This window comes from Homo sapiens, chromosome 9 (assembly GCF_000001405.40).
Source record: "Homo sapiens chromosome 9, GRCh38.p14 Primary Assembly".
In the NCBI taxonomy this organism is placed as follows: Eukaryota; Metazoa; Chordata; class Mammalia; order Primates; family Hominidae; genus Homo; species Homo sapiens.
Window position 1 is genome coordinate 125,234,487 of NC_000009.12, and position 25,827 is coordinate 125,260,313.

The following is a 25,827-nucleotide window of genomic DNA, read 5'->3' on the forward strand; positions in this document are numbered from 1 at the left end:
GAGCTGAGATCACACCATTGCACTCCAGCCTGGGTGACAAGAACGAAACTCTGTCTCAAAAAAAAAAAAAATATATATATATATACATATATACACACATATATATGTATACATATATAGTATATTTATATGTATACATATATATGTATACATATTTATATATACATGTATTTATATATGTATACATAAACACATATATATGTATACATATATATATATATAAAAGGTTTTGCCAACAATACAAACCTAGGTAGGTGTGATTTGTGTATTAAATGCTAATCACAAAGTTGCAATATGGTTAGGGTTAAAAAAGAAGTTGCAGAATTATAATTGGTAAACAACAAACTATAGACATCAGACACATAGTTGAAGTCTATCTTTTTAATATTCAGTAACAGCTCCTCAGAAAGAGTTACAGACTAGGTGGTCCACGGTAGTGAGAGCCTTTGAGGTAAGGGAAGACTAGCCCTAGTTGCTAACTACCATTTAACCCTATTGCCCCAGGGTACACAGCACTGTAGGTCATCTTTAATGGCTGTATTGGGCTTGGCCTGAGACCAGTATTCTGCTCAGGGTCTGCCCAAATGCTTTTCGGGCAGTGCAGCTGAGGCCTAGGTCTAATTAAGAGTTTGGTGTTGGGATCCAGTTCTACTAGCCCTAGAGAATTAACCTTTCAGCCAGTTGCCCATCTATAAAATACCTATCCTTGGGCAGTATTGGATTCTTTTTTTTTTTTTTGAGGTGGAGTCTCACTCTTGTCGCCAGGCTGGAGTGCCGGGCTGGAGTACAGTGGTGTGATCTCGGCTCACTGCAACCTCTGCCTCCCGGGTTCGAGTGATTCTCCTGCCTCAGCCTTCAGCTTGCACTACCACGCCCAGCTAATTTTTGTATTTTCAGTAGAGATGGAGTTTCACCATGTTGGCAAAGATGGTCTCTATCTCTTGACCTTGTGATCCACCCGCCTTGGCCTCCCAAAGTGCTAGGATTACAATATTGGATTTTATGTTAGCACCAGCCTGTCCTTTATTGATCATACCATTTACCTGGACTCTTTTCTTCAGGAACACAATCTAAGTAATCCTAAACCAGTTTTGACACAAACCATTGCCTTTAACAACCCATTCATAGTGAGGGGATTTAGTGTAGTTTCAATGTCACCATCCAAGATCCCACCCCAGTACCACTAATGAGAAATTTCAGGGATGGAGATTCTGACACAGCTAGGGTTCACAATATACCTTTACATCCTAAAGTTACAAATGAAATCCAAGTGTATAAAGTTAATACCAGTGATCACTCACTCCCCATCATTTCTCAGAGAATCCAAGCAGCTATAAAAGCATCATTAGTAATAATTTTAAAAAAAGCCACCAGAAAGGCAGTTTTAGAAAGATAAGGGGAAATAGGAAACCAAGTATGTTCAAGAAAACCCCACTCTTGGGCACTGTGAAATGCCCCTTGCCTGAGTAAAGATGTGGATTAACTTCTCTCCCCTTTTCTTAGATTAATGCAAAAGCCGAGCATGGTGGTAACAAGCCTGTGGTCTCAATTAGCTGGGAGACTGAGGTGGAAGGATCACTTGGGCCCAGGAGGGTTAAAAAAAAAAAAAAAAATCCCTGGAAGCATTAAATAGAAGTGTTTCCTTATCCCAACATACCAAATACTCCCTCCCCTCACCCCACACACGAGTATCTAGTCTTAAATTTCCTAAAATAAGTAATTGATCTAATTAGAAGCTTCTCACAAACATTAGACCAGTGTAAATAACAAACATTTATTGGTGTCACTTATGGTAGAAAAAACTTCCTACACCAGATGCACATGACCCAGTTGTTAAATAGAACATTTTGAAGGTGAACACACACCCTAACCCAGGTTTTTTACCCGCTTTTTAAGATGGCCAATTCTTCTTCTCCCCCCCACCCAAAGACATGTGAGCAACTGCTAATGAAAAGCAGTAAACAGCCGCTTAGGCTATAGCAGTTTCAACTCCACTCTGAGGTGAAGATTCCAATTACATTCGAGACTTAAGTTCTTTCAATTTTTTCCTAACAAAAGTTCCTGAGTCCAGTATTTACAATATTACAGCACTAGCAGATCAGTGTCTACAACTCATCTTTTTCTGCTGTATCCTCTTCACCAGTTGGGGGAGGGCCTGCACTTCCATAGAGTTTGCTGATAATTGGTTGAACAATTTCTTCCAGTTCCTTCTTCTTAGCTTTGAAGTCTTCAATGTCAGCATCTTGGTGGCTTTCCAGCCATTCAATCTTTTCTTCTACAGCTTTTTCCATGGTCTCCTTATCTTCAGAGGAAAGTTTACCTCCCAGCTTTTCTTTATCTCCAATCTGATTCTTTAGAGAATAGGCATAGCTTTCCAACTCATTTCTAGTATCAATGCGCTCCTTGAGCTTTTTGTCTTCCTCAGCAAACTTCTCAGCATCATTAACCATCCTTTCGATTTCTTCAGGTGTCAGGCGATTCTGGTCATTGGTGATTGTGATCTTATTTTTGTTCCCTGTACCCTTGTCTTCAGCTGTCACTCGAAGAATACCATTCACATCTATCTCAAAGGTGACTTCAATCTGTGGGACCCCACGAGGAGCAGGAGGAATTCCAGTCAGATCAAATGTACCCAGAAGATGATTGTCTTTTGTCAGGGGTCTTTCACCTAGAAGTTACATACAGAAAAACTTGTTAGTTGTTACTGACAAGCATTAGCACATCTAGATCCCCGCATTTCAGTCTGAAGCATAAAGTGACACTTTTGGTTTTATCGAGCTAAAAGTAATTTCATATTGGTCTACAAGGAGCAGCAACTAGTACTAACAATGAGTTAGGTTACTAACTCAACTGAATTTTATCTATTTTAAAGTACTGTGAACTCCTTTTTCTTGTACTCTAGGAGCCAGCTCAGATGCTATTATTAGTGAGAATGCTAATCATTGGCTGGGTACAGTGGCTCACACCTGTAATAATCCCAGTACTTTGGGAGGCCGAGGTCGGTGGATCACCTGAGGTTAGGGGTTCAAGACCAGCCTGGCCAACATGGCGAAACTCCGCCTCTACTAAAAATACAAAACTTAGCCGGGCGTGATGGTGGGCACCTGTAATCCCAGCTATTCGGGAGGCAGAGGTTGCAAGTCATGCCACTGCACCCCAGCCTAGGCGACAGAGCAAGACTCCATTAAAAAAAAAAAAAAAAGAATGCTAAATATCTAATATCAACATTATTCAAATTAAGACCTCCATCTGAAAACAGCAGTTACTTAGTTCCCTAGCCATTTCAATAGGACATATTAAGTCATGTTCTTTTAAAATATGCCATGATAGATAGATCTGGCGTGGTGGCTCACGCCTATAATCCCAGCACTTTGGGAGGTGGAGGCAGGCAGATGACCTGAGGTCAGGAGTTGGAGACCAGCCTGGGAAACATGGTGAAACCCCATCTCTACTAAAAATACAGAAATTAGCCAGGTGTGGTGGTCCACGCCTGTAATCCCAGCTACTCTGGAGGCTGAGGCAGGAGAATCACTTGAACCCGGGAGACAGAATTTGCAGTGAGCCGAGATCGTGCCACTGCAGTCCAGCCTGGGCAACAGAGCAAGACTTCATCTCAAAAAAAAAGCCATGATATTAACAAACTTAAGTAATTACCTTCATAGACCTTGATTGTAACAGTTGGTTGATTATCAGAAGCTGTAGAAAAGATCTGAGACTTCTTGGTAGGCACCACTGTGTTCCTTGGAATCAGTTTGGTCATGACACCTCCCACAGTTTCAATACCAAGTGTAAGGGGACATACATCAAGCAGTACCAGGTCACCTGTAAGGATAAGTTATTTAACTTTTAATTCAAGTTCTCCCTATGAGCTATGTAAAGTTTATCTCTCTAACATTTGGTTAGGTTCTAACACACACATTTTAAAGGCAGTGAATTAAACAGTTGCTAATGATCTTGAGACTACCCCAGTCTTGTCTTCACTTATACCCTTTACTAGCTGTGTGACCTTGTTGCTCATATTCTGGTATTTTCTAAAGCAATAGCTAATGAGTCTTCCATCAAGCTACTGAATCACTAAGAAAGATGCTGCGATGATGACCTACCTGTATCTTGATCACCAGAGAGCACACCAGCCTGGACAGCAGCACCATACGCTACAGCTTCATCTGGGTTTATGCCACGGGATGGTTCCTTGCCATTGAAGAACTCTTTAACCAGTTGCTGAATCTTTGGAATTCGAGTCGAGCCACCAACAAGAACAATTTCATCAATATCAGACTTCTTCAAATCAGAATCTTCCAACACTTTCTGGACGGGCTTCATAGTAGACCGGAACAGATCCTAGAAAAAAGACATGGTTACTGTGATGTCTGTTATCTAAGTATCTAGATGCAATGTCCTGAATTCAGAGTCTAAGGAGATCTCATTAGCAAAGCAGAAAACAAGGAACATACCATGTTGAGCTCTTCAAATTTGGCCCGAGTCAGGGTCTCAGAAAAGTCTTCTCCTTCATAGAAGGACTCAATTTCAATTCTTGCTTGATGCTGAGAAGACAGGGCCCGTTTGGCCTTTTCTACCTCGCGCCGGAGTTTCTGCACAGCTCTATTGTCTTTCCTGACATCTTTGCCCGTCTTCTTTTTGTACAGTTTGATGAAGTGTTCCATGACACGCTGGTCAAAGTCTTCTCCACCCAGATGAGTATCTCCATTAGTGGCCACAACTTCGAAGACACCATTGTCAATGGTGAGAAGAGACACATCGAAGGTTCCGCCACCCAGGTCAAACACCAGGATGTTCTTCTCCCCCTCCCTCTTATCCAGGCCATAAGCAATAGCAGCTGCCGTACTATTAGATTGAAAAAGGGAAAAGTTTTGTCAGTACTTCACATTTCCACTATTTGGCAAATATGCCGTATCCCTGAATTTCATACTTACGGCTCGTTGATGATCCTCATAACATTTAGGCCAGCAATAGTTCCAGCGTCTTTGGTTGCTTGGCGTTGGGCATCATTAAAATAGGCTGGTACAGTAACAACTGCATGGGTAACCTAAAAGGATAAAAGATAATTAAGTGTATTGTCACATAGTTTAACCCTTATTTAAATTACAGTCTGGCCAGGCGGTGGCTTCTGCCTATAATCCCAGCACTTTGGGAGGCTGAGGCAGGAGGATCACCTGAGGGCAGGATTTCAAGACCAGCCTGGGCAATGTGGAGAAACCCTGTCTCTACTGAAAATTAAAAAAAAAAAAAAAAATTAGCCAGGTGTGGTGGTGTGCCTGTAGTTCCAGTTACTTGGGAGGCTGAGGCAGGAGAGCTGCTTGAACCCGGGAGGCAGAGGTTGCAGTGAGCTGAGATCGTGCCACTGCAGTCCAGCCTGGGCAACAGAGCAAGACTCCATCTCAAAAAAAAAAAATTACAGTCAAACCATCACTTTAGTTTTTAAGCCAACTTATTGATGAATACAACATATAAAATTTTATGTCCCTGGAATTGTAAGCATTAAATAATACATGAAAAGTCTATTTTGTTTGGCTTATAGTAAGGGACTCAATAATTAAACCTGACAAGCATGAATACCATTCTGATTAAAATTTTTGAAACCCTTCACGAAGGCTTCTATACATAACAGCCAACCGAGAATACTAATGATCAAAAAATACTTAACATTGTTCTAGAAATATTTACCTTCTTTCCCAAATAAGCCTCAGCGGTTTCTTTCATTTTAGTGAGAACCATGGCAGAAATTTCTTCAGGAGCAAATGTCTTTGTTTGCCCACCTCCAATATCAACTTGAATGTATGGTTTAGTTTTCTTTTCAACCACCTATTTTAAAGAATTATTGTTTTCAGACACAGATACAATGACATCTCAAAGTTTAAAAGACCCACTACCATCCCCACAATTTGGTTTATTTTGGTCCCTTGGGGCTGCAAATTGACTAGAAATACTTCAGGGAGTATAGGTGTCTTACAAAGTTCAGTTTTAATCGGTCTTTTATTCCTAAACTATCGTAGACAGTACGACAGCAACTGTCTTAAGTTTTGTAACATACTAATAGTATTAAAGTTATTACATACATCATGTCTATAACCTTCAACTGTTGTCTCAACACTTTTCCAGAGACTTATAACTCTAAATACTCCCACCACCCACCCGTTCTCTAACTGGATGAGAAAAACCCGGTCGAACCTTGAACGGCAAGAACTTGATGTCCTGCTGCACAGACGGGTCATTCCACGTGCGGCCGATGAGCCGCTTGGCGTCAAAGACCGTGTTCTCGGGGTTGGAGGTGAGCTGGTTCTTGGCGGCATCGCCAATCAGACGTTCCCCTTCAGGAGTGAAGGCGACATAGGACGGCGTGATGCGGTTGCCCTGATCGTTGGCGATGATCTCCACGCGGCCGTTCTTGAACACGCCGACGCTGGCAGAAAAACCCGACAGAGGGACATCAGCACCGCACTTCTCACGCCAGGCCAGGCGGCCACGCCCCGTCCCCCTGCATCCGCAACCCCACTTACCAGGAGTAGGTGGTCCCCAGGTCGATGCCGACCACCGTGCCCACGTCCTCCTTCTTGTCCTCCTCCTCGGCCCGCGCCGCGCTGAGCAGCAGCAGCATCGCGGCCACCAGGGAGAGCTTCATCTTGCCAGCCAGTTGGGCAGCAGCAGGCAGTCCAGCCACAGGCCGTAGCACAGGAGCACAGCGCAATTTCCGACTTGCAGGCGGCAGGGGCCCGGGGTCACAAGGCGCCACGAACCAGGCGAAGGGCAGGTCTAGAAATACAGGCCGCGGCGCTTCCCTCTCACACTCGCGAAACACCCCAATAGGTCAATCTGTCTGTGCTGTCTTGGCCGGCGTCGACCTCACCGTCGCCTACTCGGCTTATATACCCTCCCCCAGCCCCGTCGTGGAGGCCGCCGATTGGTGAAGGCCCTGCTCGTTGGAGGCCGTTCATTGGCCCAGGCCACCAAGCTGGCCGCCGCCGATTCGAAGCGGCCCCCTCCGCAATAAACGTCACTGCTCCGCCCCCCCCAGCTGATTCATTGGCTGCTATTCGTTTCTAACGTTCACCAATGGTAGATAACATCCGCCCCATCCGCTGGTCCCATTGGTTCAGCAGCTGTCTATCTCTCCTGCGACTTCTGACCCCGAGGCATTTCCGCTGGTAACCGCACAAGTCCCGCCTTCACTCCCGGCCCTAGGGGGTCGGAGTAGGTCCAGCAGGAGTGACCCCCCGGGGCTGTGGGATCTGAAACTTTTTCTTCTCTACTGCTTGTTCTCCCTTCCTCCATCCCTCACCCCGAAGCGGGAAGCAGCTTTCTCTTCCCAGCTTCCATCCAGTCTCTGAGTAGACCAGTCGCAGCTTAGATGCTGGGATCGCCTCAGAACACATTTCTTTGCCCTTCACGGCCACTACCGGTATTGGGGTATGCGAGTCTCAGGGCCGTTCGTTGCTCACAGGTCGAGCTGGTCTGGACTCTGTTCGACCACGAATCATGACTCCTTCCTGCCAGTTATGTCCCCTCCGCACCCTTGCCCAGCCATTTTACCAGGCCTCTCCACATTGCGCTGCCCCACGGTAAGTCGCAGGACAAGCCCGGCCAAAGGAATTGCCTCCAGCTCTGAGTCCCCTCCCTACTGTGGCAACCCACTCCAGTGCCAGCCCTCCCACACTGGATGTCTAATTTTTCTAGCTTGCCACCCTTTACTTTCCCCTCCGCTGCCCATCCTTTCCCTCTGGGGCAAAGGTTATCATTTACGGGGCTTTCTCCATCCTTTATTGTTGATACTTTTCTACCTTCATTCCAGGAAAAGGTCTGATGTACACGCAGACAACACATTTGATAGGCGAAAATCGTCTTGATAATGCCTTATTCTTATATAACATCCTGTTGCAAAAAATAATAGAGACCACTATTTGCTGAAAGCCTACCGTGGATTAAGCATTGTTCAGTGTGCTTTTCATGTGTCATTTAGTCTTGACAGTTCAATACTCGGTAGGCATTTCCCGTTTTCCAGATGAGGACATTGAAACTGAAAAAGATTAAATAACTAAACAAGTCACAGAGCTGGTGAGTGATGGAGTTAGGATTGATAACCAGGTGGAGTTCACTCTATTGCCAATACTTTTTTTTTTTTCAAGACGGAGTATCACTCTGTCACGCCCAGGCTGGAGTTCAGTAGTGCAATCTCAGCTCACTGCAACCTCCGCTTCCGGGGTTCAAGCGATTCTCCTGCCTCAGCCTCCTGAGTAGCTGGGATTACAGGCACGCACCACCATGCCTGGCTAATTTTTTTTTTTTTTTTTTTGTGGAGATGAGGTTTCACCATTTTAGCCAGGCTGGTTTCGAACTCCCAACCTCAAGCGATCTGCCCACCTCGGCCTCCCAAAGTGCTGGGATTACAGGTGTGAGACACTGTGCCTGATCTCTTAACTTTAAAACAAAAAATTCATCTGTGGCCGGGCGTGGTGGCTCACGCCTGTAATCCCAACACTTTGGGAGGCCGAGGTGGGCGGATCACGGGGTCAGGAGATCAAGACCATCCGGGGTAACACGATGAAACCCCATCTCTATAAAAATCCAAAAATTAGCTGGGCGTGGTGGTGCATGCCTGTAGTCCCAGCTACTCGGGAGGCTGAGGCAGGAGAATCGCTTGAACCCGGGAGGTGGAGGTTGCAGTGAGCCGAGATCACGTCACTACACTCCAGCCTGGGCAGCAGAGCTAGACTCCATCTCAAAAAAAAAAAAAAAATTCATTTGTTTGAGGAATGTTTTTGGAGGACCTACTATGGAAAGGGCAAAGCTCTGATATGAAATATTTGAGATTCATGGGTATACTGTGTCCAGATACCACTAAAACATCCTAAACACACTTTATTAAGATGTTGAGCCTGTGACTCAGTACTCAAGAATTTTCTTTTTCCTTAGTGCTTCTCAAAGGTTAGACTGGTGACTCAAGAGTTGACTCTGTTCACTACAGAGGTTGCATCATGCATCTCTTTCAGCAGGGCTTGTAATCCTGCGGCAACATTGACCCTTCTTTGGCTTGCATCAGTCCAGCATTAAGATAGAAATCATCATTTGACCACATTACAGCTTCTTTCATTTCAATCAAATGTTTTTATAGTGCAGTCCATTTCCATTAAAAAAAAAAACTCTCCATTTCAGCCTTATCCTTGATTAACAGAGTAACGTTTTGTAACTCTCCTTTTTGTAAAATTTAGAAAAGCGATACATGGCTAACTTCCAAAGGGAATTGAATATATTGTGGTTTCATCTTTTTAAAACCAGACATTTTACATACATTTTCTAGTATATTCCAAAGCACAGTCACTTACGAATAGGAAAGTACATGGTCAAAACTAGCTTGCTGAACATTAAATGCCAAAAATAATATCCAGGTCAAGTTATCAATACTTAACTGTTAGACACTGTGCTAAAGACGTACGTGCATTATCTCTTTTTATCTTTAAGAAAGCAGTTTTTTGTAATCCCAGTATTTTGGGAGGCCGAGGTGGGCGGATCACGAGGTCAAGAGATCGAGACCATCCCGGCCAACATGGTGCCCAGTCTCTACTAAAAATACAAAAATCAGTTGGGTGTAGTGGCGCGCGCCTATAGTCCCAGCTACTGCTACTCAGAGGATGAGGCAGGAAAATCGCTTGAACCTGGGAGGCGGAGGTTCAGTGAGCTGAGATCGCACCACTGCACTCCAGCCTGGCCACAGAACGAGACTCTGTCTCAAAACAAAAACAAAAACAAAAACAAAAAGAAACAAACAAAAAAGCATTTTTTTCTTACCCCTATTTTAGAGTGAAGGAATCTGAAGCCCCAAGAGGTAAAGAAACTTGCCCAGGAGATTGCACACCTAAGATAATGAGCCAGTATTTGAGCCTTGGCAGTTTGATTTTTAACCTCTATAGGTTGTCATCTTGAGCTTCAGATTTATAAGACTTAATTTTGGGTTTCGGCATGGTGGCTCAGATGTGTAATCCCAGCACTTTGGGAGGCCAAGGTGGGTGAATCACTTGAGGTCAGGAGTTCGAGACCAGCCTGGCCAACAGGGCAAAACTCCATCTCTAATAAAAATACAAAATTTGCTGGGCATGGTAGCACACGCCTGTAATCCCAGCTACTCGAGAGGCTGAGGCATGAGAACCACTCGAACCTGGGAGGCGAAAGTCACAGTGAGCCAAGATCGCACCACTGCACTCCAGCCTGGGCAACAGGGTGAGACTGTCTAAAAAGAAAAAAAAAAAACCTTACATTTTGTTTTAGGATATAGAGTAGTCACATATTTTGGGTTTTAAATTTAAAGTTTATAATTTTCATAGATATGGGGTCTAGCTACATTAACCAGGTTGGTCTCAAACTCCTGGCCTCAAGCAATCCTCCCACTTCAGCCTTCCAAAGTGTGGGAATTACAGGAATGAGCCACCACATCCAGCTCCAGTTACACATTTTGTAAATATTTTGATAACAGATGATATGCAAATATAAATTTTTATCCAGAAATTTAAACCAGCCCATTTCACTTGTGCTCCTATGGGTAAGAAAATTGCTTTCCAGGCTGGGCCTGGTGGCTCACACCTGTAATCCCAGCACTATGGGAGGCCGAGGCAGGCGGATAACCTGAGGTCGGGAGTTCGAGACCAGCCTGGTCAAAATGGAAAACCCCGTCTCTACTAAAAATACAAAATTAGCCCAGCGTGGTGGCTCATGCCTGTAATCCCAGCTACTCGAGAGGCTGAGGCAGGAGAATCACTTGAACCCGGGAGGCGGAGGTTGAGGTGAGCTGAGATCATGCCATTGCACTGCAGCCTGGGCAACAAGAGCGAAACTCTCTCTCAAAAAAAAAAAAAATTGCTTTCCATTTCCTACCTGATCTCAGAAAGCTAATTAAGCAGAGGTAAGACTTATTAGGATTGGATGTCATTTAGCTCTTAAATCTTCTTTTGTGGCCATGCGCGGTGGCTCACGCCTGTAATCCCAGCACTTTGGGAGGCCCAGGCGGGTGGATCACGAGATCAGGAGATCGAGACCATCCTGGCTAACACGGTGAAACCCCGTCTCTACTAAAAATACAAAAAATTAGCCGGGCACGGTGGCGGGCGCATGTAGTCCCAGCTACTCAGGAGGCTGAGGCAGGAGAATGGTGTGAACCCAGGAGGTGGAGCTTGCAGTGAGCTGAGATTGCGCCACTGCACTCTAGCCTGGGCGACAGAGCGAAACTCTGCCTCAAAAATAAAAAGTAAAAAATAAATCTTCCTTTGTGAAAGAGGACTAATAATAAATGACAAGCATCCAGCAGGAAGAAAAAGGAAAGGACCTATGTAATTTACAAGTTTAATATTAACATTTAGATCCTGATAATTGAGAATTTTCCACATGTTTTGTTAGAGAGAACATTCAACTAGGTGATAAGGCACATAACTTTGACAAAAACCAATTTCTCAGAGCCACAGTTTTTTTTTTTTTTTTTTTTTTTTTTTTTGAGACAGAGTCTTGCTCTGTTGCCCAGGCTGGAGTGCAGTGGCATGATCTTGGCTTACTGCAGCCTCTGCCTCCCCGGTTCCAGCGATTATCCTGTCTCAGCCTCCTGGTAGCTGGGATTACAGGGGTACACCATCATGCCCAGCTAATTTTTGTATTTTTAGTAGAGATGGGGTTTTGCCATGTTGGCCAGGATGGTCTTGAACTCCTGACCTCAGGTGATCTGCCCGCCTCGGCCTCCCAAAGTGCTGGGATTATAGGCGTGAGCCACCACGCCCAGCCAAGCTCAGATTCTTAATCTATTGAATGTCAGGAATTTCTGTCCTGCCTGTCTTACTGGACTGCTTCAAGGATCAAATGAGATATTGTATGTGAAAGTAGTGTGAAGGTTGTAGAACAGTGGTAATGCCATTGCTAATCATAGAAATATAACGTGAGAAGAAATTTTAGAAGTAAGGCCAAGTGCAGCGGCTCATGCCCATAGTCCCACCACTTTGGGAGGGCGAGGTGGAAGGAAACTTGAGGCCAGGTGTTTGAGACCAGCCTCGGCAAAACAGAGAGATCGCCTCCTTCTGTGAAAATATTTAAAAATTAGCCAGTCATTGTGGTGCGTGCCTGTAGTTCCAGATACTCAGAAAGCTGAGGTGGGAGGATCACTTGAGCCCAGGAGTTTGAAGCAGCAATGAGCAATGATTGTGCCACTGCACTCCAGCCTGGACAACAAAGGAAAACACCTCTCAAAAAATAAAAAATAAATGGTACATCTAATTAATCCTATATTGGTCACATAGATGTCTTTTTTTTTCTTTCGAGACAGAGTCTTGCTCTGTTGCCCAGGCTGGAGGGCAGTGGTGCAATCTCGGCTCATTGCAACCTCCGCCTCCTGGGTTCAAACAATTCTCCTGTCTCAGCCTCCCGAGTAGCTGGGATTACAGGCACACAGCACCACACCCAGCTAATTTTTGGATTTTTAGTAGAGACAGGGGTTTCACCATGTTGGCCAGGCTGGTCTCAAACTCCTGACCTCGTGATCTGCCCGCCTTGGCCTCCCAAAGTGCTGGGATTACAGTTGTGAGCCATCTGCATCCAGCCCACATAGATGTCTTTATTAAGGTGCTAAGAATAATTTATTCACCCTTCATCAAACAACTCTCGAATAAAACAAAAGTGTCACCTTAACACCTGAGCCAGAAGCAATAGTAGGTATAAATCATGTATTTTATTTTTTTTGGTACTTCTGAAAGTACAATGTGCTATGCAATTAATTTCCTTCCTTGTCTTCAGTTTCTAAAAGTAAATTTATAATAGAGAACTTTCCCTTCTCCACACATACATAGAAATAGTGCATTTTCTATCACATTTTGTGCGTGTGTGCCGAAGGCATTTAGGAGGGCACACTGTGTTAGATAACGTAAAAGAGAGGCAAGACCATAGGATTTGGAAGCGCTAAAACTATTTGAGTTCCAGTTGTGTTACTTACTGGCTGTGTAACTTATGGCAAGTCAATCTCTCTGAGGCTCTGTTTATGAGTGTGTAAAATGGATATAATTCTGCCACTTAACAAGGCTGGTTTTTGTTTGTTTGAGACAGTGTCTCACTTTGTCACCCAGGCTGGAGTGCAATGGTGCCATTATGGCTCACTGCAGCCACAACCTCCCAGGCTCAAGCCATCCTCTGGCCTCAGCCCCCCGAGTAGCTGGGACTACAAGCACACACCACCACAGCCTACTAATTTTTGTATATTTTGTAGAGACAGGGTTTCACCATGTTGTCCAGGCTGGTCTTGAACTCCTGGGCTCAAGTGATCTGCTTGACTTGGCCTCCCAAAGTGCTGGGATTATGTGAGCCACTGTGCCTGGCCAAGACTGTTGTCATGATCAAGTAAGGTAATATACGGTATTAGAGATGTCCATGTAAACTTAAAAAGAAAAATAAGAACAACAGAAAAGAAATAAGGTAATATAAGTAAAAGTGAAGCTGGGTGTGATGGCACCCCCTGTAGTCCTAGCTACTCCAGAGGCTGAGGTAGGAGGATTGCTTGAGCCTAGGAGTTTGAGGCTACCCTGGGAGAAATAGGAAGACTGTCTCAAAAAGTGTTTAACTGGAAAGCACTTAATTTTATATAAAAAAATGCTACTTTTATTTTTTAAATTTCTTTCTTTTATCTTGAGACAGGGTCTCCTTCTATTGCCCAGGCTGGTCTTGAATTGCTGGCCTCAAGCAATCCTCCTGCCTCAGCCTCCCAAAGTGCTAGGATTACAGGCATGAGCTACCACACGCGGCCAAAATACTACTTTTAATTTTTCTTCCTTCTGTCTTATAGTTTCCTTTGAAGTAAAATAAGCTGCAAAATATGAAGAGCTGGCCGGGCGCGGTGGCTCACACCTGTAACCCCAGCACTTTGGGAGGCCAAGGCGGGCGGATCACGAGGTCAGGAGATCGAGACCATCCTGGATAACACGGTGAAACCCCGTCTCTACTAAAATACAAAAAATCAGCCGGGCGTGGTGGCGGACACCTGTAGTCCCAGCTACTCAGGAGGCTGAGGCAGGAGAATGGCGTGAACCTGGGAGGTGGAGCTTGCAGTGAGCCAAGATCATGCCACTGCACTCCAGCCTGGGTGACAGAGCGAGACTCCATCTCAAAAAAAAAAAAAAAAAAATGACGAGCTACCTGTATAGAATTTGATAATATTTGATATATCTTAAATTTAAATTGTTTTTCTTTTCTCATTTCTTTCCTTCCTCTTTTTTTTTTTTTTTTTTTTTAGAGATAGGGTTTTACTATGTTGTCCAGGCTGGTCTCCAACTCCTGGGCTCAAGCAATCTGCTTGCCACAGCCTCCCAAAGTGCTGGGATTGCAAGCATGAGCCATTGCACCTGGCCTTAAATTTAAAATTTTTAAAATAGTAAATGTATATACAAGGCATAAAATTCAAAGGGTCCAATAAGTCTCCCTGCCACTCAGTCCTCAGCCCTGTTCCCCTACACTGATAGAGGGAACCACTGTAACCACTTTCTTGTGGAGCCTTCTAGAAATGTTTTACTTTTTAATTGATTATTTTTTTCGAGACAGATCTCACTCTGTTGCCCAGGCTGGAAAGCAGTGGCTCAATCACAGTTCACTGCAGCCCCCATCTCCCAGACTCAAGCAATCCTCTGTCTCAGCCTTCTGGGTAGCTGGGCCTACAGGTGTCTGCCACCACACAGCACTAATATTTTTTTTTTTTTTTTGAGATGGAGTCTTGCTCTGTCGCCTAGGCTAGAGTGCAATGGCACAATCTTGGCTCACTGCAACCTCCGTCTCCCGGGTTCAAGCGATTCTCCTACCTCAGCCGGATCCCAACCTGTAGCTGGGATTACAGGTGCCTGCCATCGCATCCGGCTAATTTTTGTATTTTTAGTAGAGATGGGGTTTCACCATCTTGTCCAGGCTGATCTCGAACTCCTGACCTTGTGAACCACCCACCTCAGCCTCCCAAAGTGCTGGGATTACAGGCGTGAGCCACCATGCCCGGCAATTTATTTTTTGTAGTGACAGGGTATAGCTATGTTGCCCAAGCTGGTCTTGAACTCCTGGCCTTAAACAGTCCCCCTGCTTCACCCTCCCAAAGTGCTGGGATTATAGGCATAAGCTGCTGTGGCCAGCTTAGAAATGTTTTATTCACACACAATACGTGTGTGTGTGTGTGTTTTCCTGTTTTATTTATTTTATTTATTTATTTATTTTTATTTTTTGAGACAGAGTTTCACTTTTGTTGCCCAGGCTGGAGTGCAGTGGCTCTATCTCGGCTCACCACAACCTCTGCCTCCCGGGTTCAAGCGATTCTCCTGCCTCAGCCTCCTGAGTAGCTGGGACTACAGGCGCCCACCACCATGCCCAGCTAATTTTTGTATTTTTAGTAGAGAAGGGGTTTCACCATATTGGCCAGGCTGGTCTCGAACTTTTGACCTTGTGATCTGCCCACCTTGGCCTCCCGAAGTGCTGGGATTACAGGCATGAGCCACCACACCTGGCCTATCTATTTTATTTTTTGAGATGGAGTGCACTGGAATGATCACGGCTCACTGAAGCCTTGACCTCTTAGGCTCAAGTGATCCTCCTGCCTCAGCCTCCTGAGTAGCTGGGACCACAGGTGTGCACTACCATGGCCAGATAATTTTTAAATTTTATTTATTTAGAGACAACATCTCACTCTGTTGCTCAGGCTTGAGTGCAGTGGCCAGATCATGGCTTACTGCAGCCTCAATCTCCTGGGCCCAAATGATCCTCCCAAGTAGCTGGGACTACAGGCATGCGCCATCACCCCCAGCTAATTTTTTTTATTTTTTGTAGAGATAGGGTTTCACCGTGTTGTCCAGGCTGGTCTTGAACTCCTAGGCTGAAGCAGTTCGCATGCTTCGGCCTCCCAAAGTGCTGGGATTATAGGCATGAGGCTCTGTGCCTGGCCATAATTTTTTCATTTTTTGTAGAAATGCTTTACTATGTTGCCCAGGCTAATCACGAACTCCCAGGCTCAAGCAATCCTCCTGCCTCAGCCTTCTAATGTGCTGGGATTACAGGTGTGAACCACCCTACTCGGCCTAGAAATGTTTTATTCATACAAAAAATGTAGGCCAGGCGCCATGGCTCATGCCTGTAATCCCAGCACTTTGGGAGGCCAAGGTGGGCGGATCACCCGAGGTCAGGAGTTCCAGACCAGCCTGGCCAAGATGGTGAAACCCTGTCTCTACTAAAAATACAAAAATTAGCCAGACATGGTTGCATGCGCCTGTAATCCCAGCTACTCAGGAGGCTGAGACAGGAGAATTGTTTGAACCTCAGAGTCAGAGGTTGCAGTGAGTCAAGATCACACCACTGCACTCCAGTCTGGGCAACAGAGCAAGACTCTGTCTCAAAAAAAAAAAATTATATATGTATATCTACACACACACACACACACACACACACACGTGTGTGTGTGTGTGTCTGAGTATACCCATGTTTTAATTTTTTTTAATTAATTTTTTTTTGTGATGGAGTTTCACACTTGTCTCCCAGGCTGTAGTGCAGTAGCACAATCTTGGCTCATTGCAACCTCCACCTCCTGAGTTTGAGTGATTCTCCTGCCTCAGCCTCCCAAGTAGCTGGGATAACAAGCATGCACCACTACACACAGCTAATTTTGTATTTTTAGTAGAGATGGGGTTTCACCATGCTGGCCAGGCTGGTCTTGAACTTCTGACCTCAGGTGATCCACCTGCCTCGGCCTCCCAAAGTGCTGGGATTACAGGTGGGCCCACGCGCCCGGCCATATCCATGTTTTAAAACCAGTGATGGAGCACTGAAGCATAGTGCATATATGGTTCTGTGTCTTTATTCAATTAACTGCATTTCTTGGAGATTGTCACAAATCAGTACCTGTGGAGCTGCCTTTTTTTTTTTTTTTTGAGATGGAGTTTTGCTCTGTTGCCCAGGCTGGAGTGCAATGGTGTGATCTCGGCTCACTGCAACCTCTGCCTCCTGGGTTCAAGCAATTCTCCTGCCTCGGCCTCCTATGTAGCTGAGATTACAGGTATGCACCACCAAGCCCGACTAATTTTTGTATTTTTAGTAGAGATCGGTGGCGGGGGGGGGGGGGTCTCACTGTGTTGGCCAGGCTGGTCTTGAACTCCTGACCTCAAGCAATCCACCCGCGTAGGCCTTTCAAAGGGCTGAGATTACAGGTGTGCACCACTGCGTCCAGCTGGAGCTGCCTTTTGTTGATATGTAAAGAGTAGCTACCCTTTATGTATGATGTGCCGGATGTTTTATTTTTTAATTTTATTTTATTATATATATTTTTGAGACGGAATCTCGCTCTATTGCCCAGGCTGGAGTGCAGTGGTATGACCTCAGCTCAATGCAATCTCTGTCTCCTGGGTTCAAGTGATTCTCCTGCCTCAGCCTCCCGAGTAGCTGGTATTACAGACGCCCGCCACCACGCCCGGTTATTTTATTTTATTTTTTTTTTGTATTTTTAGTAGAGACGGGGTTGGTTTCACCATGTTGGCCAGGTTGGTTTTGAACTCCTGACCTCAAGTGATCTAGCCACCTCAGCCTCCCAAAGTGTTAGGATAACAGGCATGAGCCACCGTGCCTGGCCACGCTGGATGTTTTAATTTTTTTTTTTTTTTTTTTTTGAGATGGAGTCTTGCTCTGTCACCAGACTGGAGTGCAGTAGCATGACCTCGGCTCACTGCAACCTCTGTCTCCTGGGTTCAAACAATTTTTGTGCCTTAGCCAGCTGGGACTACAGGCACGTGCCACCACACCCAGCTAATTTTTGTATTTTTAGTAGAGATGGGTTTCACCGTGTTGGCCAGGATGGTCTCAATATCCTGACCTCGCGATCCACGCGCCTTGGCCTCCCAAAGTGCTGGGATTACAGGTGTGAGCCACTGGGCCCGGCCTTTTTTTTTTGAGACAGGATCAGAGCACAGTGGTGTAATCTCAGCTTACTGCAGCCTTCTCCTCCTGGGTTCAAGTGATCTCCTGCCTCAGCTTCCCAAGTAGTTTTCTTTTCTCAAAAAAAGAAAAAAAAAGATATTCTTTTTTTTGAGACAGAGTCTCACTCTGTCACCCAGGCTGGAGTGCAATGGCGCAATCTCAGCTCACTGCAACCCCCGCCTCCCAGGTTCAAGCGGTTCTCCTGCCTCAGCCTCCCGAATAGCTGGGACTACAGGTGTGTGCCACTACACCCGGCTAATTTTTTTGTATTTTTGTTAGAGATGAGATTTCACCATGTTGGTCAGGCTAGTCTCGAACTCCTGACCTCATGTGATCTGCCCACATTGGCCTCCCAAAGTGCTGGGATTACAGGACTTTGTAATCAGGACCATGCCCAGCCAAACTTTGTCTCACTATAGCTTTCTGATGTATTTATTTATTTACTTACTTATTTTTTAAATCTGTATACTCAGAGTGCTTTATGATGTCTTGATATCGTTTAGAACAAGTGCTTCCACATTGCTCTTCTTCTTCAGGAATGTTTCTGACTATTCTTGGCGTTTTGTATTTCCATGTAAGTTTTAGAATCAGTCTATCAAGTTCACAAACCAAACCTGTTACATATTGTTAAGTTAGAAAAAAAAAAAAAGCAGGGCCTGGCGCAGTGGCTCATGCCTGTAATCCCAGCACTTTGGGAGGCCGAGGCGGGCAGATCACGAGGTCAGGAGATCAAGACCACCCTGGCTAACACGGTGAAACCCCTATCTCTACTAAAAATACAAAGTATTAGCCAGGCATGGTGGCAGGCACCTGTAGTCCCAGCTATTCAGGAGGCTGAGGCAGAAGAGTCACTTGAACCCAGGAGGCGGAGGTTGGAGTGAGCCAAGATCTTGCCGTGAGCCAAGATCTTGTCACTGCACTCCAGCCTGGGCAACAGAACGAGACTCCGTCTCAAAAAAAAGAAAAAAATATTGTAGGCTGGGCAAGGTGTGTTCCCAGTGCTTTATGATGCCAAGGTGTGAGGATCACTTGGGGCCAGGAGTTTGAGAGCAGCCTGGGCAAATAGCGAGACGCCATCTCTACAAAAATATAAAAATAAAATAATAATAATAATAGAATTAACCAAGCACAGTGGTGCACACCAGTAGTCCCAGCTAGTAGACTGAGGCGGGAGTATCAGTTGAGCTCAGCAGTTTGAGGCTGCAATGAGCTACAATCACACCACTGCACTTCAGCCTGGGTGGAAGACGAAAACCCTGTCTCAAAAAAAAATAAATAAATAATAAATGGTATAGTACTATCATACTTTTGAGTAATCTGCTTTATTATTTTTTCCTTTTTTTTCTTTTTTTGAGACGGAGTTTCACTCTTGTTGCCCAGGCTGGAGTGCAATGGCATGATCTCAGCTCACCACAACCTCAGCCTCCTGGGTTCAAGCGATTCTCCTGCCTCAGCCTCCCAAGTAGCTGGAATTACAGGCATGCACCACCACATCCGGCTGATTTTTTTGTATTTTTAGTAGAGATGGAGTTTTGTCATCAGAAATAAAAAATTTCCATTTTGAAGTGAAAAATTAGGATACTTCAGTATGGCTGGGCGCAGTGGCTCATGCCTGTAATGCTGGCAATTTGGGAGGCCGAGGCAGGCAGATCACTTGAGGTCAGGAGTTCAATACCAGTGTGGCCAATATGGTGAAACCCTGTCTCTACTAAAACTACAAAAATTGGCCAGGCATGGTGGTGCGTGCCTGAAATCCCAGGTACTCGGGGGGCTGAGGCAGGAGAATCACTTTAACCTGGGAGGCAGAGGTTGCAGTGAGCCAAGATCACTCCATTGCACTCCAGCCTGGGCAACAGAGAGATACTCTGTCTAAACCAAAAATAAATAAATAAAAAAATAAAAAAGAAGGATACATCAGTACATCAGTATGATAAAATATTCAGGAACCATTAAAATTGCTGATTTTTGGATAGGAGGGGATGGAGGAAAAAATTGCTGATTTTTATGTTTTTCAAAAAGTAAATTATGTCCACTCCACTGCTTCACTTGAATAGCCTTAAAAAAAAAAAGTAAATTGTTAGTTTTTTCATCTACATCTTCTTTTTATTTAAACATCTGTTTATCTATTAGGACCTTATCAAGCTTGAAGATCTTTAAAAAGAAAAGTAAAAGTAATGCAAGAGAACAAAAAGATTGTCAGTGAAAGATATATAATTGCATTAAGGTAAGACTTTTTTTTTCCTTTCCTTTTTTTTTTTGAGACAGAGTCTCTCTCTTTCACCCAGGCTGGAGTGCAGTGGCACCATCTCAGCTCACTGAAATCTCCGTCTCCCAGGTTCAAGCGATTCTCCTGCCTCAGCCTCCTGAGTAGCTGGGATTACAGGTGCCCACCACCATGCCCGGCTAATTTTTGTATTTTTAGTAGAGACAGAGTTTCACCATGTTGGCCAGGCTGTTCTTGAACTCCTGACCTCAAGTGATCTGTCTGCCTTGGCCTCCCAAATTGCTGGGATTACAGGCGTGAGCCACTGTACCCGGCCAAGGTAAGATATTTCATATGTTATAATGAACGATGGGTTAAATTCAAATACAAGTAATATACCACTTTTTTTTTTTTTTTTGAGACGGAGTCTTGCTCTATCGACCAGGCTGGAGTTCAGTGGCGCGATCTCGGCTCATTGCAAACTCCGCCTCCCGGGTTCACGCCATTCTCTCGCCTCAGCCTCCCGAGTAGCTGGGACTACAGGCGCCCGCCACCGCGCCCAGCTGATTTTTTGTATTTTTAGTAGAGACGGGGTTTCACCGTGTTAGCCAGGATGGTCTTGATCTCCTGACCTCGTGATCCGCCCGCCTCGGCCTCCCAAAGTGCTGGGATTACAGGTGTGAGCCGCCGCGCCCGGCTGTAATATACCACTTTTATGTTGCATTAACATTACAGCTCCTGGGCCAGACATGGTGGTTCATACCTGTAATCCCAGCAGTGTGGAGTGTGAGCCATCAGTATTGCTGGAGCCCAGGAGTTCAAGACCAGCCTGGGCAACATAGCAACACCCTGTCTCTACAAAAAGTTAAAAAATTAGCCACGTGTATGGAGAGTGCCTCTAGTTCCAGCTACTTGGGAGCATGAGGCAGGAAGATCACTGGAGCCCAGGAGTTTGAGGTTGCAGTTAGCTATGATTGTGCCACTGCACTCCAGCCTGGGTGACACAGTGAGACCCTCTCTCTAAAAAACAACAAAGAATTACAGCTCCTATCAGTTTGGATGTCCCTGGTACTTGTAGAAAAATAAGGATTACAGTAGACTTCATTTGGCTGAAGTCTTTGAGTTGCAGGATTCATAAGCCTGTTCTATAGGAGCCACTTTCCTCATTTTCAGTTTTCTCAGGTTTTTTTTAAAATTTTTTTATTTAGAAATTTTTTTAGAGACTAAGTCTTGCTCTTTTGCCCAGGATGGAGTGCAGTGGTAAAATCATAGCTCACTGTAGCTTCAAGCTCCTGGGCTCAAGCAATTCTCCTGAGTCAGCATCTTGAATAGCTGGGATTACAGGTGAGAACCAGTGCACTCGGCCAGCTGATAATTTTAACTCCTTGCTAAATGTTGCAAAGCCATATGACTGTGAATACATTGCTAGGATCTTTGAAGAGTCTCCAGGCAAGTGAGGGGCCCTAAATCATAAGCTCCATCAGCTTCATGGATCTCAGTATTATTATTTCTGAGCCTGCCAGTGGGGGCCAGTGTAGGACCACCAATGACCCAGAACATGGACTGTGGCTATGACGGGAACAAATTAATTGCTCCAAAGTGAAAAGTATTTTTTTAAGGAATACTTTCTACCACCTGGGTCTTACTGGATTTTTTTGCTTGCAGGATTCCTAGAGCTCTAACCTGGGAAACACAGCAAAACCTCATCTCTACAAAAAATAAAAAAGTTAGCCAGGCATGGTGGTGCGTGCATATGATCCCAGGTACTCAGGAGGCTGAGGCAGGAGGATTGCTTGAGCCCTGCCCAGAAAGTAGAGGTTGCAGTGGGCTGTGATTACATCACTGCACTCTAGCCTGGGTGACAGAGAGAGACCCTGTCTCAGAATTAAAAAAAAAAAAAAAAAGCTGGGTGTGGTGGTTCCTGCCTGTAATCCCAGCACTTTAGGAGGACGAGGCAGGAAGATTACTTGAGTCCAGGAGTTTGAGACCAGCCTGGGCAACACAGTGAGATCTTGTCTGTATAAAAAATAAAAAAATTAGCCAGGCACAGTGAAGGGACTTCGCATGTGTGAAGTTCCAGGTACTCTGGAGGCTGAAGTGGGAGGATGGCTTGAGCCAGGGAGGTTGAGGCTGCAGTAAGCAGTGATGGTGTCACTGAGCTTTAGCCTGGGTGAAAGAGCGAGATCCTGTCTCAAAAAGTAAATAAACGATGAAAACTATTTTAGAGTTTTTTAATGGTAAAATTATGATTTCTATTCATGTTATTGCTGTATTTACTTACTGCCTAGTTTATAATTTGCTTGACTCTTCCAGATGTGGCCCTAATCTTTCCACAGTCAAGCGTGTACTACTATTTCACAGCATTTTCCTTTCCAAACTGTGTGCCAAATAAATCGGGGTCTCCAACCCCAGAGCCGTGAACTGGTACCCGTCTGTGGCTTGTTAGGAATGGAGCAGCACAGGATGAAGTGAGTGGTGGGTAAGTGAGCATTACCACCTGAGCTCTGCCTCCTGTCAGATCAGCAATGGCATTAGATTATCATAGGAGTGCGAACCCTATTGTGAACTGCGTATGCAAGGGGTCTAGGTTGTCCACTCCTTATGGGAATCTAATGCCTAATTATCTGAGGTGTAACAATTTCATCCCGAAACCATCCCCCCGACCTCCTCCACCCCCTACCACCATTTCCTGGAAAAACTGTCTTCCACAAAACCAGTCCCTGGTGCCAAAAAGGTTAGGGACTGCTGAAATAAAATCATGTCATAGGTGAAGTCCTTGTTTCTTCCCTTTTGTCTTCCTCTTTCTCTGTAATCTTTATTTCTTATGGCCTGTTTTTCTTTCTGGTATGGTTTGGTCTCACTTAACTCTCATATTTCTTTCTTAAGTGTAGATGTATTGTAACTTAAACAATGTTACTTTTTGGTCTTGATGGATGGCTCACACCTGTAATTCCAGCACTTTGGGAGGCTGAGGTGGGCAGATCACCTGAGGTTGGGAGTTCGAGACCAGCCTGACCAACATGGAGAAACCCCGTCTCTACTAAAAATACAAAATTTGCTGGCGCAGTAGCTCACACCTGTAATCCCAGCACTTTGGGAGGCCGAGGCGGGCAGATCACGAGGTCAGGAGTTCAAGACCAGCCTGGCCAACATAGTGAAACCCTGTCTGAACTAAAAATACAAAAATTAGCCAGGGATGGTGGCGTGCGCTTGTAGTCTCAGCTACTCTGGAGGTTGAGGCAGGAGAATCACTTGAACCTGGGAGGCGGAGGTTATGGTGAGCTGATATCGCGCCATGGCACTCCAGCCTGGGCAACAAGAGCGAAACTCCATAAAAAAAAAAAAAAAAATTAGCCGGGCATGGTGGCCCGAACTGTAATCCCAGCTGTTCGGGAGGCTGAGGCATGAGAATTGCTTGAACCTGGGAGGCGGAGGTTGTGGTAAGCCGAGATCGTGCCATTGTACTCCAGCCTGGGCAATAAGAGCGAAACTCTGTCTCAAAAAAGAAAAAGAAAAAGAAAAATTAGCCAGGCATGGTGGCGTGCACCTGTAATCCCAGCTGAGGATTAGGCATGAGAACTGCTTGATCCCAGGAGGTGGAGGTTGCAGTGAGTTGAGATCATTCCACTGCACTCCAGCCTGGGCAACAGAGTGAGACTCCATCTCAAACAAAACAAAACAAAACAAAACAAAAAACAAACAGGCGAGCCCAGCACAGCGGTGCAAGCCTGTGGTCCCAGGTACTCAGGAAGCTGAGGCATGAGGATCCCTTGAGCCCTCACGATAGCACCTGTGAATAGTTACTGCATTCTAGCCTGGGCAACATAGCAAGACCTATTTCTAAAATAAAAATGTAGACAAATTATTACATTCTAGGCAGTACGCCCAGTGGTGAATAAGATGGAGTCTGCGCCCTCAGGGACTATGTGTTGGTTTAAATTTTCACCTCAAGTTAACATTTGTGATTCAATATAAGTGATGAAGTTTGGGGGCCTTTGAGGGACCTGGGGATAAAGTGTTTTTTTGTCCAGAAATACTTGCCAGAGGCCCCTTAAATCACTTGGCCATAGCATCTGCTTTCTTGGCTTACTTCTAAGACTGGCTGTGTACACATAGAAGGAAAAAGAACATTAAAAAAAATGTTTTGCGATTCTAAGGCAGAGTAGTTTAATAGAGTATGGAGTTGGGAGGCTGAAGAACTAAACTCTACACAAGGTCCAGTATGAATTTTGTGACCATGAACAAGTAACTTCATATCCTTCTATGTCAGGGAAGACTGAGTTGTGTATGGAAAGAAAGGGGCTTTGGACAGAGTTTACTGTGTATTCATCCATTCATTTAAAAAACAAAAAACAAACATTACATTCTAGGCAGTATGCCAGGTTCTAGGGAGACAGTGATCTGCCCTCAGTGAGTACTACTTATTGATTTTGAGCAAATTTTCACCTCTTGAGTTTACTTTCCCATTTGTAAAAGGGATGAAAATAATACCTATTCCATATTTCCCAAGAATCACTGTTGTAGTGATCCATAGTTCTAGCAGGAGATTTGAATTCCTTGAGTGTGCTGACTGGAAAAAAAAAAGAAAATTGCTTGTTAGTTCAAGTTCTTCATTTGTAGGTGACAGAACAGGGCTCAGAAGATTAACTGACCATTCTAGTTCCTTTTTTACTTCTCACATGCAATGCAGCTTCCCTGAAGATTCTTTTGCAACTTTTGGGGCCTCTCCTTCCCTTCCTCCCTGGCCTGGGTGCTCCAGCCTACCCAGACGCAGTGTTCCAGAGCCCACTGTGAATGTGGTTTTGCTAAGGCTGAGTTCTTCCTTAGCAGTCCACGAATGCCATCTCTTGTCTTGAAATCCAGCCATCCAGTAACTCCTAACTGTCACCTCTTCCATAAGGTCATGAACCCTCAACTTGAAAAGGCCATTCTCTCTGAGAATCTCAGAATGCTTTGTACCTTGGCTTATTATGATGATCCTTAATCTGTGGCAGTTTCATCCTACCCTAGATTGTAAATTGTATCCTCTTGCTTATTTCTTTTCTTTTTTTTTTTTTCTTGAGACAGAGTCTCGCTCTGTCGCCCAGGCTGGAGTGCAGTGGCACGATCTCCACTCACTGCAAGCTCCGTCTCCCGGGTTCACGCCATTCTCCTGCCTCAGCCTCCCGTGTAGCTGGGACTACAGGCGCCTGCCACCATGCCCGGCTAATTTTTTGTATTTTTAGTAGAGACAGGTTTCTACCGTGTTAGCCAGGATGGTCTCGATCTCCTGACCTCATGATCCGCCCACCTCGGCCTCCCAAAGTGCTGGGATTACAGGCGTGAGCCACTGCGCCCGGCCTCCTCTTGCTTATTTCATGCCAGCGGTGCATTGAGTAATGTCTTGTAACAGAGCTGATTGAATTCCTGAATGAGTTGAATGGCAGCACGATAGCAATAACATCTGACCAGCCTACCATAGGTGGTTCTATTACTACCTATGTAGTCATAAAACAAGGCAATAAATATGAAGCAATTCTGTCAATGTTGTTGTTGCTGTTTTGTTTTGAGACAGGTTTCACTCTGCTGCCCAGGATGGAGTTCAGTGGCATGATCACAGCTCACTGCAGCCTTGACCTTTTTGGGCTTGGTGATCCTCCCACTTCAGCCTCCCTAGTAGCTGG

The 25,827-nt window shown here is 45.0% G+C and overlaps 1 protein-coding gene and 1 long non-coding RNA gene across 2 annotated transcripts, besides 8 other annotated features; one reads left to right on the top strand and one right to left on the bottom strand.

The window, feature by feature from the left end:
- On the bottom strand, positions 367-6,857 carry HSPA5 (heat shock protein family A (Hsp70) member 5). The gene is made up of 8 exons (NM_005347.5): positions 6,519-6,857; positions 6,190-6,421; positions 5,686-5,823; positions 4,935-5,047; positions 4,455-4,845; positions 4,104-4,341; positions 3,655-3,822; positions 367-2,668 (listed from the first exon to the last, which is right to left on the bottom strand). The coding sequence occupies exons 1-8, from the start codon at positions 6,638-6,640 to the stop codon at positions 2,106-2,108; spliced, it is 1,965 nt and encodes a 654-aa protein (NP_005338.1). The 5' UTR covers positions 6,641-6,857; the 3' UTR covers positions 367-2,105.
- Positions 6,266-6,345: an enhancer, noted in NCBI's record as "active region_29000". NCBI's record gives its function as "activates an Ori minimal core promoter by ATAC-STARR-seq in GM12878 lymphoblastoid cells {active_cell/tissue: GM12878}" and the evidence as "EXISTENCE:reporter gene assay evidence [ECO:0000049][PMID:35858748]".
- Positions 6,487-6,991: an enhancer, noted in NCBI's record as "NANOG-H3K27ac-H3K4me1 hESC enhancer chr9:128003252-128003756 (GRCh37/hg19 assembly coordinates)". NCBI's record gives its function as "activates a minimal SCP1, AML or CMV promoter by ChIP-STARR-seq in naive H9 embryonic stem cells {active_cell/tissue: H9 hESC(naive)}" and the evidence as "EXISTENCE:reporter gene assay evidence [ECO:0000049][PMID:30033119]".
- Positions 6,487-7,496: a biological region, named in NCBI's record as "NANOG-H3K27ac-H3K4me1 hESC enhancers GRCh37_chr9:128003252-128003756 and GRCh37_chr9:128003757-128004261".
- Positions 6,884-7,178: an enhancer, noted in NCBI's record as "tiled region #7891; HepG2 Activating non-DNase unmatched - State 1:Tss, and K562 Activating DNase unmatched - State 1:Tss". NCBI's record gives its function as "activates a minimal TATA promoter and a strong SV40 promoter by Sharpr-MPRA in HepG2 and K562 cells {active_cell/tissue: HepG2 | K562}" and the evidence as "EXISTENCE:reporter gene assay evidence [ECO:0000049][PMID:27701403]".
- Positions 6,992-7,496: an enhancer, noted in NCBI's record as "NANOG-H3K27ac-H3K4me1 hESC enhancer chr9:128003757-128004261 (GRCh37/hg19 assembly coordinates)". NCBI's record gives its function as "activates a minimal SCP1, AML or CMV promoter by ChIP-STARR-seq in naive and primed H9 embryonic stem cells {active_cell/tissue: H9 hESC(naive and primed)}" and the evidence as "EXISTENCE:reporter gene assay evidence [ECO:0000049][PMID:30033119]".
- Positions 7,146-7,455: an enhancer, noted in NCBI's record as "active region_29001". NCBI's record gives its function as "activates an Ori minimal core promoter by ATAC-STARR-seq in GM12878 lymphoblastoid cells {active_cell/tissue: GM12878}" and the evidence as "EXISTENCE:reporter gene assay evidence [ECO:0000049][PMID:35858748]".
- Positions 7,170-22,585, top strand: HSPA5-DT (HSPA5 divergent transcript). Its single transcript, NR_186826.1, has 3 exons — positions 7,170-7,577; positions 20,092-20,185; positions 22,478-22,585. It is a non-coding gene; the product is annotated as an HSPA5 divergent transcript (long non-coding RNA).
- Positions 11,964-12,258: an enhancer, noted in NCBI's record as "tiled region #12295; K562 Activating DNase matched - State 5:Enh". NCBI's record gives its function as "activates a minimal TATA promoter and a strong SV40 promoter by Sharpr-MPRA in K562 cells {active_cell/tissue: K562}" and the evidence as "EXISTENCE:reporter gene assay evidence [ECO:0000049][PMID:27701403]".
- Positions 23,655-23,913: a silencer, noted in NCBI's record as "fragment chr9:128020420-128020678 (GRCh37/hg19 assembly coordinates)". NCBI's record gives its function as "represses an EF-1alpha promoter that drives an FKBP-Casp9 reporter gene in an ReSE screen in HepG2 liver carcinoma cells {active_cell/tissue: HepG2}" and the evidence as "EXISTENCE:reporter gene assay evidence [ECO:0000049][PMID:32094911]".